General features: G+C 34.1%; 1 long non-coding RNA gene across 1 annotated transcript in view; it reads right to left on the bottom strand.

The window, feature by feature from the left end:
* Positions 1 to 7295: 7295 nt before the first annotated feature.
* The window catches only part of DPH6-DT (DPH6 divergent transcript), a 312807-nt gene continuing 301963 nt past the window's right edge, over positions 7296 to 18139 (bottom strand). The window contains exon 3 of the long non-coding RNA NR_038251.1: positions 7296 to 8310. This is a non-coding gene — a long non-coding RNA (DPH6 divergent transcript). The remainder of the gene's footprint in view (positions 8311 to 18139) is intronic.

Here is an 18139-nt window from a genome sequence, read left to right as displayed (position 1 = left end):
TCAACTGTCCCCCAGAGGAGGAAGCCCCACACTAAATTCCATAATACACAATACATACTCATGGGAAGGGAATAGACCAGATAGGTGGTTGATGCTCTGGCCCCATGGGTTCATATAGTTCTTAAATGTTATCTCCTCCTTAGGCCAGGCTTTTATCATTAAGCATTAATACTACTTAAAAAGGATAAAAGATTGTCATAAACTTTGAAAGATTTCCAGAGCAAATAAATGCTAGCTTATCAATTTCAGAGTCAAAGAATATTAAAATTAAATTTAAAATATACAATTAACCTAATACATTTTGAATTTGGACTAATTGTTTGAAATTCAAAAGGACCCCAGGATATTTTTCACTTGAAACACAGAAATAAAAAATTTATACTAAACAGGCAGAGTTTGCCCTCAAGGTTGAAAACATTAATCATCATGCATCTAACTGTTAACTGTAAAAAATCATTTTTCTTCTGATTTAAAGGGAATTATTTAGTGAGTGTTTTTAACTTCTCTGCTTTCTCAAGCACAGGCAGTAACATGGGGTCAGGTTCCGGGCTCCTGTGCCCCTTCACGTCCCCTTTCTCTACAAGGAGCTGCCTTTGATATACAAGGGAGCTTCTGGCCGAAAGAATGCACAAAGCCCAGGAAGAAATGAGGCTGCTAGGAATGTAATTGAGATTTAGTTATTAAATTCAGGAAATAATTGGAGTTGAACAGTCTTTCTAAGAAGAAGGTATATTTTAGCCCCACATAAAAATGAACTTGAGGCAACAGTCAGTAGGGAAAGGTCTTCACAGGACTCTCTGAAGCTTTCCACAATATTCAGAAGACCATAAAGCTGGACACAGCTTTTTTTTTTTTTCCTTTAAAAAAAAAAAAGAAAAAGAAAAAAAAAAGTTTTCTTAGGTTGGGTGAGAATATTGAGTACCAGGAAGGAAATAGGATAAACCAATATACATTATAGTCTATTTATGTAGGTTTCCCATGGAGCCAAACCACCACAACTACCTGACTGGCCTGTAATGTTATTGTTGGGCTCTTCAGTATTGAAATTTCCTTAGGTGGGATCCAAGATAGCTTTCCTGATACAAAACTATATTCCACAAGTAATATTAAAATAAGACTCAAAAGGATTCATTATCTCTGATTCTTGGTTACAGATTTATTTCATCTGAGACAAGGAAATTTCAGATTATTTTTTAAACTCTCTGGTTCTGGACAACATACCTGCCCGATTTTGCTTTGGGAAACACCCTTTCCTTTTATAGATATGGATTTTAGAAAAATGTCCATTATTAATTGAGTTTTTGGTTGCTGTTTTTTTAACATTAGTCAAAACTTTGGGCAGGGGCTATCTACTAGAATTAATCCTCCTCATATCTTTGACTAGTGAAGCAGGTCATTTTTATACTTCTAAAATGGTTACTATTTGCAGTGTAGTGAATGCAGAGATTGTAGCAACATGTTCACTTTCTAGTCAAATTCTAGGATGTTTACTTTGGAAATATGGCTAGAACAGATATTAATTTGTAGCTAATTTCAGTGCTTTTTCATACATTTTTCAAAAATGAAATATATTGAGTAATTTACTACATGCTAAGCCCTGTGCTATTTAGGAACACATACTTTACAGGTACTGTAGTATTATGACTTTCATAATTTTGAAAAATGCTAAATTTCATTAGATGTCAGCAAAAACATATTTTTTTCTTCCCATTGAAGTTCCTGGATACCCTGAATTGTATCCATGAACGTTGATCAAGGCAGGGTCATATAGATTGTAACAGACACAGTCATTTGTCTGCCTATATCCCGTCGGGTTTCTCATGAAGTATACTAGTTCCCAGTGTGCTTGTATTGCAAATACCCAGCCTCTGCATCTACAAATGGATGGCAGGGAGTAGGGGGCTTTATGTTACTTTGGGGGCATCCCTTAAACAATGACTAGCCAGTACAGGGGTCTAAATAATCTTAACTTCTTTTGCCACTGATTGGAATACCTCTAAGTTGTGACCCACGTGGTCCTCAGAGCACCTTTGTGTGGCGGAGCCAAAGTTACCATTCTTAGATCTTGTATCCTTCTCTTCTAAGTCCCTACCAGTTTTTCCCAGGAACACTTCCTAAATAAATCACTTTCACAAGAATCCTCATCAGAGAATCTGCCTCTGAGGAACCCAACCTAAGACACAGGTCATGGTAAGACTTAGATCAACAAGATGTAAAATAACTTACATGCTCCAGCTTACTTTATATAAATAACTACTGTAATCAACAAAATACTCAAATTCATGTTAGACTGGGAAAGATTTAGGACAAATGTATGGAAAGTACTTTCACTTTTGATTATAGTTAATAATATGCATTACTAACTCTCCCCCGAGAATGTCTCCGATAGAAGACTAGAAATTTAAAAAAGAGTGAAAACCAACAAACTGTGTAAACATTAGAGTAAATATTAACCAATATTGACTGCACAAAAGTAATAATTGTTTTATGAATGTATGTGTATGTGTGTGTGCATGCATGTCTGTTCTAAAAGGAAGGTAGGGATAAATGAAATAAAATTATTGTAAGGTCTTTGCATTCTACAAGAGGATAAGAGTACTAATTAGTATTAAACATATGTAAGTCAAGAATGCATGCTGTTAGCTCTAGTATAATCAAAAGGACAGTAAATGAACATATAATTTCCAACCTAACAGAATAAGTAAAATTATGAAAAATAATTACTCTAATAGAAAACAAGCAAGGTTTAAAAAAAAGAACAAAGAGTAAATGGAAGAAACCAGGTGAACAGATAGTAGACTTAAGCCAAATGTATCAATCAATAAATTAAACATAAATAGAATGCTTCAATTAAAGACAAAAAGATTGCCAGACAATTATAAATAATAAAACCCAAGTAAATATTGCTTCAGATATCTATCTAAAATACAAGGATTCAAAAGTTTTAGAAATAAACAACAAAAGCTCATTTTAATATTATTCACAGTAGAATTTAAAGCTAAAAGGATTGCTAGAGGTAAAAGGAACACTTAATAATGATGAGATATAATTCACCAGGAAGATATAATTCTAAATGTATTGCATTTAACATACCCTCAAATATACATAAAGTAAAAATTGACAGAACTAAAGAATTAGACAAATGAACAATTTCAATAAAGAGTTAACACATCTTTTTTAGTAAGTGATAAAACATATAAAAACTTGGAAGCTACATAGAAAAATTTAATGATATGATCAAAAAGAAATGTAATTGAAATATATGAAACAAAGTGGCCACCAATTTCAGAATATACATTCTTAAGGATATATTACATTTTTTCCAAATTGACCATATATTGGGCAATAAAACAATTTCATAAAATTTCAAAATAATATATAATATGACTTCATATTATATGATTTTCAGTTCTCAATGGAAATAAGATAGAAATCAGTAAAACTATAACTGGTAAATCCCCATATTTTTGAAAATTAGGCAATATACTTTTAAATGCAAGGATCAAAGAAAAATTTAAATAGTTTTAGATAACATGTGAAACTAAATAATAATGGAAATATGACCTATTAAAACTTGTGGAATGCTGCTAAAATTATTTGTCAAGGGGGTTATAGCTTTAAATGTATGTATTCAACAAAGAAGGAAGACTAAAACTCAAAGCTTGCATCTTTAAAAATTAGAAAAAGAATAGATATTTAAGACAGAGGATAGATGGAAATACATAAAGAAATTTAAAAATAAGTATTCAATAGATAACATCAACAAAATCAAACTAATTTAAATTTATAAAGATTAACAAAGTTAAATTCCTGATAAAACTGACAAAATTTTTAAAAAATTCGTTAGTAACCAATATCAATGTGAAAAAGAAACATCACTCTAGATCCTGCAGATGTTAATGTTACACCAATAAATTTAAAAATCTAGATTAAAATTTCTAGAAAAATTCAACTTAAAACTAAGCAAACAATAAAATTTTGAATAAATCATCTGTTCATCACAATACACTGATAAGAGGGTTAAAATACAAACCACACAGTGGAATATCTGAAACATATGTAACTCATAAAGGACTCCTTCACATGGACATTTTAAAAATGTAAAACTTTGACAAATCAATAAGAAAAAGATAGCTACTTATTAAAGATAGGCAGTAAACATATGAAAGGGTGTTCAAGTCCATTAGTAATAAGGGAAAAGAAAATTAAAGCCACAGTGAAGAGTCAACTGATCTTTGATGCAGGGTCAAAGGCAATACTATGGAGAAAAGACAGTCTTTTCAATAAATGTTGCTGGAACTGAACATCTGTATGCAGATGCAAAAAAAAAAAAAGTGGGGGGTTACCAAAGAGATTACAGACCTAAATGTAAAATACAAATTTATAAAATTCCTAGTAAAAATTCCCAGAAAGTAACATAGGATAAAATCTAGATGACCTTGGGACTGGTGATGACTTTTTAGATATGATACCAAAGGTACAATCTATAAAATAATTGATAAACTGGACTTCATTAAAATTAAAAATTTTTGGACACTGTCAAAGAATAAAAACACAAGCCACAGACTAAGAGAAAATATTTGCAAAAGACCTATCTGATAAAGGACTATTAATCCAAATTATACAAAGGTTTCTTAAAACTCAACGACAAGAAAACAAACAGCCTGATTAACAAATGAGCCAAAGAATTTGACACCTCACCAGAGAAGACATCCAGATGGCAAATAAGCATATGAAAAGATGCTCCACATCGTATGTCATCATAGAAGTGTAAACTAAAACAATAAGATACCACTACACACCTATTAGAATGGCCAAAATCTGGAACACTGATAACACCAAATGCTAGTGAGGACGTGGAACAATACAGTTGCTGGTGGAAATGCAAAATGGTGTAGACACTTTGGAAGACAGTTTGGCAGTTTTTTGGAAAACTAAACACAATTTTACCATATGATCCAACAATAGTGCTCCTTGGTATTTACCCAGATGGTTGAAGATATAGGTCCACAAAAACCTGCACACAAACGTTGATAGCAACGTTATTCATAATCGCCCAAACTTGGAAGCAACCAACATGCCCTTCAGTAGGTGAATGGATGACCTGTGGTACATCTAGACAATGGAATATTATTCGGCACTAAAATATGAGCTATCAAGCCTTGAAAATACATGGAGAAACTTTAAATGCATATTACTGAGTAAAAGAAGCCAATCTGAAAAGCCCACATACTATATAATTCAAACTATATGATATTCTGGAAAAGGCAAATCTATGGAGCCAGGGGTGTCAAAGATCAGGAGATGTCAGGAATGAGGGAAGGAGGAGAGATATAGGCAGAGCACAGAGTATTTTTAAGGCAGTGAAAATACTCTGTATGATACTATAATGGTGGATACAAGTCAGTATACATTTGTCACACTCTTAGAATGCACGACACTGACAGTGAACCCTAATGTAAACTATGAACTCCAAGTGATAATAATGTGTCAATTTAGGTCCATCAACTGTAACAAATATACTATTCTGGTAGGAAATAATAGTAACTGGGGAGGCTATGCATGTGTGGGGCCAGGGGTAAATGGGAAATATCTGTACCGTCCTCTCAGGTTTACTGTGAAGCTAAAACTGCTCTAAAGTCTATTATGAGACACAACCATAATGATTACTGTAAAACATTAAAAATAACTAATGATGTTGAAAAGGTAGAGGCATGAAGACTAATACTCAGATACGAAAGAATGCACACTGCATGATTCTATCTATGTAAGTTGAAAAAGCAGATAAATGAAATTTCACGTTTAGGTTGTAAAACTATAAAGAAGAGCGAGAAAGCAAAGATGGTGGTTACTTTAGTGGAAAAGAAAGAGTGGGCCGTGACTGGAAAAAATATTCTAAGATGCTGGCAAGTGGTGGCCACTTGGGTGATTCTTTTTCATGGGAAGTTATTGAACTACACATTTTTGCTTCATGAATTATTCCATATATACGTTATGTTTTAAATTAAAATAATTATTTGATTTTAATCTTTTAAGAGCAAGGAAATAAAATTAATGTTTACCAATTTAGGGAATACTAATGTTATATAGTTTTGGTTTTGTTGCTTTATTGTTTGAATGATCATATTCCATTCCGTAAATTCAGAACATTATAATATTTTGGCAACTCACAAACAACTGGTAATTGGCATTTCTCAATACAAGTCTTCAAAAATTCTAATAAAATGCTGCTTAATTTAAATTTAGCCTGTTCTCTGCTAGATATGAAGTAGGGCATTTGAGTTAATCAACTACTCTGAATAATAGAGTTACTATCTATATCATACATACAATGGGTTACACATTTTTAAGATGTTAGAATCCATTTTTAAAATGTTAGAATCCATTTTTAAAAATCATTTTGTACAAACAATACTGAGCATAATTAAACTGTTAGTGATTCAACAAACACAAAATTACCTCATTTGAGTACCTTTAAATTCATAATGAGCATCAATTGTCAATGTACTATTAGTGTACAGAAGGGCTGGGGAAGCTAAGTTTTGGTGGACAGGATTTCACCTAAGAGCATTTCTAGTTAGTGTCCCAAAGGGCAAGGGTAGTGTCAGCTTACCTGGGAAATTGGAGTTTCATTTAAACAATGTTCAAAACACATTTTGTATTGAGTCTCAGTGATAAGAGGATTGCCTTTATTTTCACCTCTTTCCTCCTCCACGACAACCTATCCCAATCTAATTTGTAAAGCCTTATTAGTGTATGCACACATGCATGTACACAAAGAGTGTTTGGCTTATATTTATACAGATTTTTAGAGTCTACACCTGTTTTCTTTCTCTTCCAAGACCTTTCAAGCTTTTCTTTTTAGAAGTCATAGTAGCCATTCACAGAAATATCATGACTAGCATGGTATATAAAACACATTCTATATAATAGATATTATGGTACTGTGAATGCAAAGATAATGCTACTACGTGTTACTGTCCTGATATTAAAGCGGTAATATAAATTATTCTACAGATGAAACTGCCTATTATAACTTTTCACTGCTAGTTTTACACAAACTCTGAAAGCAATTTTTAATTTCTGTGCATAAGTTGAAATGCAAAAGTGTTTGTTTTTCATTACAGCTGATTTCAAAAGTAAGGGCCTTAAAAAGTTAATACAGTTAAATTTTAATTTAACCTAGAATTATGGAACTGTACTCTCAGCATATAACCCACCCCCCACCTTGCCATATACACGCCCCCACACATACTGTATCACAAAAGAGAGAAAGAAAAACACCTACGCTGAACTTAACTTACCACATTTTTATTATCATGGTTAAGGTTTACCCAGGACTTTCAACCATCTTGCAAATTCCAATGACAGTCAAAAGTAAGTAAAGTAGTTCAAAAGCAGAGCAAGCTGACTCATAAAGAGCCCTGCTTCCGAGAACAATAGCAAAGGGTGTCCTTCTAAGCTCAGAAATGAAGAAAAAGAAGTTTGAGCTAAATCCAGATGATTTAACTTTTGCTCATGAAAAGTGAATTTCCTCTACCTGTACTATATTCTGTTCTTATAAGTTTGACATGGATCTGGTTTAAATACAATAGAAACAAAGAGAGGAAGTTATGTTTGGTATCCTTTACATTTACATCTTCAAGGTTGTTTGGAAATCTTTTAGGCAGTCTTCCTTTCCCCAAATATTCCCTTCCGCTGTTTCTTTAACTGGAAGAGGTTTTTCATTTTATACACTGTACATTTCCAAAGTATATATGGTTCTAGGCATGGTATTTGCTTTCCTTAGAGATATGAATCGCTTTTGTTCATTTACCTTCTTTGAAATTCATTTCTAGTAGCTGCAGAGCTGCTGCTATGGAGTGTTAATAGGCTTCTAACATAGCTGTCATTTCAAGTAATAGGTGCCAAGCTTTCAGCAGCTTATTAACACATTATAACAGCAACCCCTATACTAAACAAACAAATTGCACAGAGGAGGACACAAGCAAAATTAGTGTGTACAAATATATATATTCATATGTATACATACATACAGTATATACTTAGGACTCATCAACATATTTGGTTCCATACATGATTAGACCAGAATTGGCACTTTGTTTTTTATGAATATTCACAGGGAGAAAGAGTGGATCGGATTTGTATTTGGTCCCAAATGTGAGACGAATACAAACTGGTATAATTACTGAAAGATTTCCATCCTCTCAGCCCAGCGACACTCTCAAGACCGAAAAATTGCAGACTTGTGGTATTTCACATCATGGAACTGTGCTATCGTGATCTTTCAGCGCCACTTCATGGGGGATGCTGCAGAGGAAGAAAAAGTGGAAATAAGCAAAGAAATACACCAACTGGCAAAACTACTGAGAAAGGAAGAGATACAAATATGAAAATATGCTTCTAAGAGTCAAAATTTGCATTTGGATATGAACACTGGACCAACTCTCTACAAACACAAATATATTCTTCCAGATGCAGGGGCAGACATATGTACAGATAAATATGAGAATGTATATTCACACATGCTTTATGTAAATATGAATACACACACATATACACATATATACATATGTATATATATATAGATACACTGTCCTTTACAAGTGTTTATATATTTAATGGTTGCATAAAACTTCCTCACAGCTTTCTGGAAGACATATTTCAATAAGGGCTCTAAATTTTACATTGTAGTACAAGCTGACCTTTTTTGAGTATAAAAAAATCCCAGAGCAGTTTATAATCATGTTGTAATATATTTGGAGGTTGTAAATATATTAAATCCAACTTGTAAATCAGCTGGATAATTTTATAAAATTTACTAAAATTTGTAGTATTAAGGAGGATGACTTGATGGCCTCTGGTTATCTTGCAAGATTTAATGTGTGCTACTTTTTATTGTTACTAATAGACAGGTGGCATTATTAATTGTTGAGTAAGTACCAGTGCTGAGCTAGTAACGTTATAAACTGCATATACTACTCTGAATATTTCTAGTATCTGTAAACAACTTTCAAATCTGGGAAAGTAAGAGAAATTCAAAACAAAAAGCCAAGTTTAGTGATAGAATTAGTTAATTGAATAATGACTGACTTGCGATGGAAATTATTTCTTCACAATACTACTCTTGCTGGACTAGATATAACTTGACATAGAAGAGCAATTATTTTGAAGCCTGTAATAAAAGATAATAATCTATTTTAAGAAACTCCATTACAAAAAAAAAAAATGCCCTGGTTATATATAGCTCAAACCCAAGAATGACTATAAGAAACTTTTAATTCTTACTTGCCATTAGGGCACACTTTACAGAAATAATTAATGACTTTTAATTCAGCAAACAGCATTTTCTTTTCAAGGTAGATACAGTAACATATAGGTAATTAAGTCCCAAATTTTGAGGTCTATTCTATGGTTCTCCCAACTATATCTCTTGAGTTGGCTCTCATCTTACCCTTGTCTAGCAAGGAGTTTGTAATACCATCTTCAATGTACTTCTCTTGTTTTTAATAATTCAAGTTGTTTTTCCTACCTAAAGAGCCTTTGGAAATTAAAGCATTCATTTTATTTTATACTCTGGAAACCACTTAGTGAATTATAACCTCACTACTGCCCTCATTTTTAGATGTCTCAGATCACACTATTATGCATGCATGCTACTCATAGCATTATATAATAAGCTATTTAAAAGACTATGTCTTCAGCCAGGCACGAAGACTCATGCCTATAATCCCAGCAATTTGGGAGGCCAAGGTGGGAGAATTACCTGAGCCCAGGAGTTCGAAACCAGCTTAGGCAACATAGGGAAACATCATCTCTACAAAAAAAGAATTTTTTTTTTTAATTAGCTAGGCATGGTGGGGTGTTCCCGTAGTCCCAGGTACTCAGGATGCTGAGGCAGGAGGAGCCCTAGAGCCCAGGAGTTTGAGGATGCAGTGAGCCATGATGGCACCACTGCTCTCCAGCCTGGGCAAGAGTGAGACCTCATCTTTTTTAATAAAAATAAAGCAAAGACCATGTCTTCTAGACTGCAAGCTCCTTGGGAGAGGCCTGTATCTTATTTATCTTTGTTTCCCTAATATCAAGTACAGTACCTGATGCATGGCAGCTGTTCCATAAATGTTGAATTGATGAACAAATTAATGAATAAAGATCAGGTCCTCTCTATATTTTCAAATCTGTCTTAGCTCTCACTGCTTAGTCAAATCCAATTTCATTTTCCCATAAATATCTACTTCTAGTTCTAACAATGATCTACACCTTAAGTTATAGCCAGAAAAAGAAAAGTGTCTGCAAGTCAGGACCTCATCCCTTTCTAAGAACTTCTCCTGTTTCTTTTCCTGAGTAAACTGATGCCTACAAAAAATAAATATGCAGTAGGGTCAGGACCGAGGGTCCTTTGGTGTGATTTTAGTAAAAACATTTTTTATAGAAAAGTATCTGCAATAGCCTCCCAAGAGTTTGGTCAACTCACCCCACAATTTGGTTTCCAGTGACAGTTATATGATATATGTGTGAAAATAATGGGTAGGGGTTTCAGGTTATGAATGTTATTTTGGTTGACATTCCCAGCAACTACCATGATTTTAAAAACAGAAAAACAAAAGTAAAAAAAAAATAAGTAAATAAGAGAAAGAAGAAGAAAACTAAAACAAAAGAACCAAAACTTCCAGCTACATATTTTATAGAAACTACTCAAGCCAGTTTGGAAAGGCTGAATGCCACATGACCCATAAAATATGAACTTTCAGTTTTCAATCAAATGAGGAGGGGAAGTGGCTCTGTGTTCTCACCAGAGTGTTTTAAATAATCTCCTCTATAAATATATATATGATTGGACTCTATAACACTATATATAATAAAGGTGGGTAGCAAAACCTGTTTTCTACCTCAACATTGTTTATGCTATTTTAATAAGTTGAATAAACTTGGGAAACTAAGAAAATGTCACTTTTCCAACTCTGCCAGGAAGGAATCTGACAACTGCTACATAATCACTGAAATGCTGCAATTTGTTAAAATGCTCCTAATAATTTTTTCTGACTTTTATCCAAAGGCTAAAGTACGACAGAGAGAGAGCAAGAGAATCGGGCTAATGATGATTAACATATTACAGAGAAGGAAGGCTACCATGATTAATTTCAAAGTCAAAGTGCTAGGGAGTTGGCACCTTCACAGAATCTCTGATCAGGGGAGAGAGCAGGAGTTTGAAAAGAGTGCAAAAAAAAACCACAGCCTTTAAAATAATGAACAGCTTTCCCAAGTCTTGCCATACTGCAAAAACACCCATACACCACGCATGCATACAATTCCCAGGGGCTCATAAATTAATTTAGTGACAAAAGATTGTACCCAAGTGATAAAGGTCCAGTACTACGATTATCTTTATGGATAATTGGGGCCATAAAATAGTTCCAAAGCACCTTTTATTTGTCATTTGTTGACAATTCAACCAATTCTCCTGTCTGCCATCCTCCATATTTAATAGGTCCCTATCGAAGTATGCAACACACTCGTTCGTATGGGAAGAATGTCTTCATATTGTTATGCCATTGCATATCCTTTACTTCCTTACGTTGTTCATCAGTCTACCTCCTGCTCTCTTTTTTTTTCTATGACACCTCTGAGATGGTACCCATAGCAACACCCCTGAGAAGAAGGTGAAAGTGAAGATGCTGCAGTCATCCCCAGCGCACAGTGCTGACAATGCCAGTCATTAATGCAGCAGCTTCTGCCTGCTCAGATCTCCCTCGCTCCTCTCTGGTCTTGTTTCCCTCCAGTAGCAGCCACAGAGCTCACTCACAGAGATCCAGAGACTTGCTGTTAATGATTTGTCACTTGTTTAGAACACCTCAGGATGGCAGGTCTGTATAATCTGCCCTCAATGGCACTGCCAGCTTGCATTAGGAAACAATTACTTAGTTTATGACTAGTAAAGTAGGCACCAGAATTTCCAATTAAACTCGCATGTTTCCAAAGGAGCCTGGGTGACCCTGTTTTTCAGGAAAGGAACAGATGCCCCCATTAGGAACAGTTCTACTCACTCCTGCTTCAGAGTAAGCCACGTGTAAATTAGTACCCTCTAGATTCATAAACTGGGGGCGACAGAATATGGAGAATGATTATGTGAATTCTTCAGTCATTGCCATTTAGGATCTCACTATTTGTTAAGATCTGGGTAAAATGAAACACTAGACACTTGCCTAAAGGCTTTTATAGTATAGAAGAAACAAAAGACACTAGCATGTAGCATTATTACTTTAATCACTACCCGCTTTCTTTGTGTGTCTGTGAGCACATGAATTGGAGAAGAAAAAAAAAACAATGATTATGGATTTATTCCTCTTCTTTTATGTTCTGAATAAATATTAGAATCCATAGATTATTTAATCAAAATTAAGAGGTTGCACTATAAAAAACATTATTAAATATTTAACATCAAATATAAACATAAGCTTGTATAAACTGGCTAATTTAAAATGTTTTACATTGAGTAGATCTTGACCTAAATATATTCCATGAATTTGAAATCACTATATTTATTGAAACACAAGTTTTTTTCATAGCTAAGAAAGGTGAAATGTTATTGAACCTCAACTCCAAAAAGTTACAGCCTGGAGTTTCCATGTAATAGCTCTCGTAATATCATATGATGATTATAATAATACAAACTTAGAATCTTATTCAAAATTCCAGGAAGAGTATATAGATATTTAACCAAAAGTCTGCATGCATGAATATCACATATTTCTAAATCCCTTTTCCGCTCCCTCCAAAAAGAGGAGGAAAACTATCCATTTATCAGTAGCAGTGTGAAAGGAGAAGATTTATCATTTTAAATTTTTCATTGCAGATGGTTTTCATTTTAAAAGGCGGGGAAGTGATTTTTTTGAAATCATTTTTTTTCTTAATGCAATTGAGCCAGACGTTTCTCGTAAATCTTGTTGCTTTAGTAGACAATACTCAATTCTCTAAACTTTATATGCAATATCCAGCTTTTTTTTTTTAAAGATGCTCCCGGGCATGAAAATGAAAGCCATCTGAGAGGTGGCATCATATTCAAAATATGCCATCCTGGCTACTCCCCTTCTCCTTAGCTCACACTTCATCTAAGATGTTCCTCTTTGCGCTCAAACAAAATGGGGAGTCTCAATGAGTTTTTAAAAGATTTCTTTCTTCCTTTTTTTTGGGGGGGGGGTAAATAAATGAGCCTGCCAGTCAATATATCTTTCAAGTTGGATAGCAAACTGTACCCAGTGATTCACTGAGGTCATTGAGTCAGAGAGACAAAATAAAAAGCAGACCACAGAGGAGAAAGCAGAGAGGGGATGCTTCCTTTGTAATTAAAAAAGAATTATTTGATACTTGATTTGAATTTCCTGCATGATGTCACTCTCTTTAAGGAAGAACAATTTAACATTTGTGGTACAGCATTGGATATTTCCATTGAGCAAACATGATGGTACTGTACTTTAGATTGTTATTATTAAAGTACATTCACTGTCCATTTTTGAGGCATCAGGATCCCTAAAATAAAGATGTACCTTAAAATGCCATCAATCAAAAATTGCCAAATTTACATGACAAGTTTGTTCTAAGGTGCATTGTATATGTCATAGATATCATAATTTTAAATATGTATCATATATAATATTTGTATATCATATATATCTTTCTTTTTATCTCTCTATGTATCTTCTAATGGGAGATTCCTTGTTATTTGACCAGATTAAAAGGATTGCTTTCTCAGATTCTGGGTTTGAGTCTCTTATGAACTTTTATGCCTAGCTTTAAAGATATAAGGAATTGCATAAAATGCAATCACTGGTTGGCATGTATTTTGTAAGCTCCAAGTAGGCAATTCTAATGATGGATTCCACTTAAGATTTTATTAAATCAATATGTATTCATATTTGCAAATACTTCAAAGAGATGCAACTGAAAATTCAATAAAGATTTACAGAAAGTTCTTTCTTTTGCAGACAACAAGGAAGTTCTGGCAGATGAATGGAAGCTAAGCTCTCCTGGATGGAGAGTGTTAGAAGAGACACTGGAAACTCAGTCCCAAGATGCTCAGTTTAGTGTTCCTATTGTTACAACCTGTGACTTCACACAGAATGAGTGAACAATGAACATCTCAGCAATTGATAAAATGATCCTTCACCAGCCAGGACCTTTTAAAAGAATTGTCTTATAACTTCATCTTAAAGAGCATCTTCTGACATTTGTTTGCTGAAACATACATTACACTTCTGCTATCTCATTCCTTTTCCACATATGCTTCCTAAGCCTGGCTTTATATTAAAATATGAAAGTTACTGGGAAAAATAATTCCACTTTCAAGCTGTAGGCCTTTTCCTACAGCTCAAAATTATCACATTTATTTGAAAGACGTTTCTTTAAAACATCTGGAAGATACACCAAAGTGATAAGCTGGAGAGAAGAAATCCTTTGCTCCAGGAATACATTCTTAAATATAATGCTGAAGAACATAATACAAACAGGAAAATGAAAATCACCCATAATCCCATCACTGTGAAACTGTATTTCCTGCATGATATATATTTATTTTTCTAAATCAAACCACATTTGGCATAGGACCCAACCCCCTAGGAAATCCAACTTAAGTCATTTTTTTATTTCCTCTCCTTTATGATCTTAAGTTCTATGGTTCCTTTAAGAACCATAGAACTTACACAATCCAAAAAACTTTGGAAGAAGGATCTTCCAAATTGTCCTTCAGTCAAGTGTAGTCTCCATTACAATGATCATGGTCAACTCAAACGCATGTTCCTGTTGTCCCTTCAGTCATGTAGACCCATTGCTGTTGCTCAAGGCCAGTTTAAATCATCTTTGAAAGCATACTTTTTATATGTGTATAATGTTCCATCCAATGGTTATGTCATAATTTCTTTATTCCTCTAATTTGACATTTAGATTCTTTCAAGAATTTTTGTTATTACTTGTAAGCTATAAAACACTACAGATACACACAAATCTTTGGCCACATCTCTATTTTATAAGGATAAGTTTTTAGCAATGAGATTCCTGTATTAAGTACAGATAGCTTTAAGGATCTTTATTCTAACTTAAAAATTACTTTTCAAAAATGTTAATGTATTAATAACTTAGTTTTTACAAATATTTGTTGCAGATTTTCTTGTCTGTTTCATGTTTATTGAAATGAATAGCTTTAATTTTTATGCAGTCAAATTTATGCATATTTTTCTTTGTAGTTTTTTTCCTCTGTTTTATGGTTAGAAGTCCCTTCTGTATCTGGAAATCTAATATTATTTTAATTTTTTAACACATTAATCAAACAAAAATGCATTTGCTACAAAGAATGAGCTTAGAACCTCTTTCCCCCCCCACCACCCCAAATAGTTAATCAATTCCCATCACCATTTCCTTTGCCCAGTAACGTATACTTTTTTATATGGTGGAGCCCAAATATCCCTATGTGAAGATGAGCATTTGGGTCAAATGAGTAAGGAACTTCCCTCTGGGAAAAATTTAAAGGGGGCACAAAAAAAACCTTCAGTAATCAACATAAATAATATTACAATACAATATTTGAAAAATCAAAACTAATGCAAAAATTTCAGATAAGCAATACATTAAAATTTTAAGAAAATTCAGAATCAAGTCCTGTAGCCTTCTGGTGTCATTCTTTAAAATCAAATCTGTACAAAGTAACATGAGTGCTAGCAGTCTCCCTAATATTTCCAGGGATACCTGTAGGACTTACGTTCCTCAGAGTACTTACATCTCATGCCAAACCCTTGCTCAACTGTCAAACACTTGTGACCATCACATCACCACTCTGAACAGCTTCATTCTTAGCAGGGACACAGTCCCTTTGTCTTTATTTCCCAAGGCACTGCTAACGCAAGGCTGTTAACACTTAAATTTTTACTGAAAGTTTGGAGGTAATTGAGGGAGAGTACAACACAGACAGGGAAACACCCCAAGATTCATTGTGAAACATCACTGCATCTAAGATTCTTCACTGGTCAACCCCCAGATCATGGTCACAGTGATTCCTCCTTAGATTGGCCAGATGCTAGGCTGATTTCTTCATACTGATTTGTCTTCCCCATCACGTCTTTCCTGAGCTCAACAATTGTCAGCCTTCCTTCCCCGTCCTTTCTTTTTTCAGTTCAGGTTATCACAGAAACACCAAAAATCCTTATTTCTTTACTGTGTAAAGTAAGCTCCTAGAGTATTGGCCTTTGTGTCAGATAGCGCTAGTTTTTTCTTCATCTCTTTCCCCTGGCCCTTAGCACTTCAGAGCTTGCCGGTCTGACTTCCAACTAACAGCACCTCCATTTACTTACCTGAGGCTTTATCTGGCCACCAAATTTTGTTTTATCTACAGGAGCAGCAGGTTTGAAGTGCTTAGAGAGTAACACCTATCCTTCTCCGCAATCCAGCACCCCTAGACCAGTAACTGAGAGAATGTGCTGTGTAAATACGCGAGTGGTCTCATCTTCGGTTAGAGTGGATGAGTCTAAGTGTGTGTTTTACACCAGTGCTCACATTTCCCCAGCAAGATCAGGCTCCACTTGCCTACAGTGGTAAGGTGCTTGCTAAAAACTATCTGGGCCGCCTTCCCTCCCTGTCTTACTTCTCTGCTCCCCTGCCAATATTTCCCGGGATCACCAATCAACTGCTTGTGGAAAAATATTTATCTCAGGGCCTGCTTTCTAAGATAGCATTCATGGCTAAAAGGGCAGTCTAGCCCTCTAAGTCTAACTTTACAAAGAACAGACAACTTTGGCATCACATTTTTTCCTGTATAATGTTTCAAATTTGGTGGATTAAGTCCCTTGGTTGAATTAATTCAGCCCTCTCCCCCATCAAAACAGCCTCTATAAGCAGGAAGGGATTAGATGTTTGGCAAGGTCTGAAAGAGATATAATAATATATCTTCGCTACCCATAGCAAACTCCAGAGGATGTAGCTTTTAAAAATCTTTCCATTTCATTTAAATTCTAGTACATATATGTTAGAGTCTTTTTTCCCCTAGCTTCCATTTTTATTTTCATTGATCCATATGTCAGTACCATAGATTTTATTATTATAGCTTTTACTATGTTTAAAATTCTACATCAATTTGTCTTCAGTTTCTGCTCCCCTCCCTTTTATTTTCTTATCTGGTCTTATCCTTTTTTTAAGATCAATTTTAAAACAGTTGTAAAATTTAAGAAAAAAAGTCTGTTAATTTGGAATAAAACTAAATTAAACCTAGAAATTAGGAAGAAGCTAGTTTTTGAAAAATTTTTTCTCCATATTGGAACATGATATCTCCCCATTAATATCAGTTTTCTTTTATACATCTCAGAAAAACAGGGGTTATTGTTTCAAATAATAAAACACATCTTTCTTATTGTTACAAATATGAAATTCATTTGGCTGCAAATATGAAGCACATATTTCTTAAAGTGAAATTAGAACAAAAGCTAAAAATAAAGGTTTTTTTTTTTCCCCCATGGTGAATTCAACCACAATGTGGTACAATGAAATGGATATTTGCTGCAAGTATAGTGGTCTGTTTTGGTTTATAGATAAAAATTCAAAAAGTTTTAATTAAGAAATGGCTTGCTTATAGCTCACAGGCAGACTTAATAGTATTAAAGATACAGAGCTTTTGTTTTCAGAGACAATCAACAGGGTAGACAATGTAACAAAGTTATGACTCCTATTTTTTATGTTTGAAATTTCACATTTGCTCATACTCCTTTCCAGAAATAATTTTAAATACCTTAAAATGAAAGATATGTATGATAAGGTTAATTAAGAACCAAGAAAATGAGAAAGAAGCATTTTTCCTTTCCCCAAATACGTTTATTTAAATCCAACTTTCTTTCATTTAGATACTTTTAAGTTCTGGGGCTAGTACCAAGTGATCTGACTCTTTTAAGCATAACACTACGTATTACCTGAGATATCGCAAATCTTAGAAAAAGTATAGACCCTAAGAGACAGGGTGCAATGCAATTAACTCAAGAGAACTTCAAGTAGCCAGTTTTGCTTTCAGGTACTTAGGAGAATGGACTTCAAAACCTGTCTTTGCCTTTAACTTACTATGAAATAATGGCCAAATCATTCAGCCTATCTGGGACTCTAGTTTTTGTGA

Source organism: Homo sapiens, chromosome 15 (assembly GCF_000001405.40).
Source record: "Homo sapiens chromosome 15, GRCh38.p14 Primary Assembly".
In the NCBI taxonomy this organism is placed as follows: domain Eukaryota; kingdom Metazoa; phylum Chordata; class Mammalia; order Primates; family Hominidae; genus Homo; species Homo sapiens.
The sequence above is the reverse complement of the archived record's forward strand: the minus strand, read 5'-3'. Positions and strand labels throughout refer to the sequence as shown.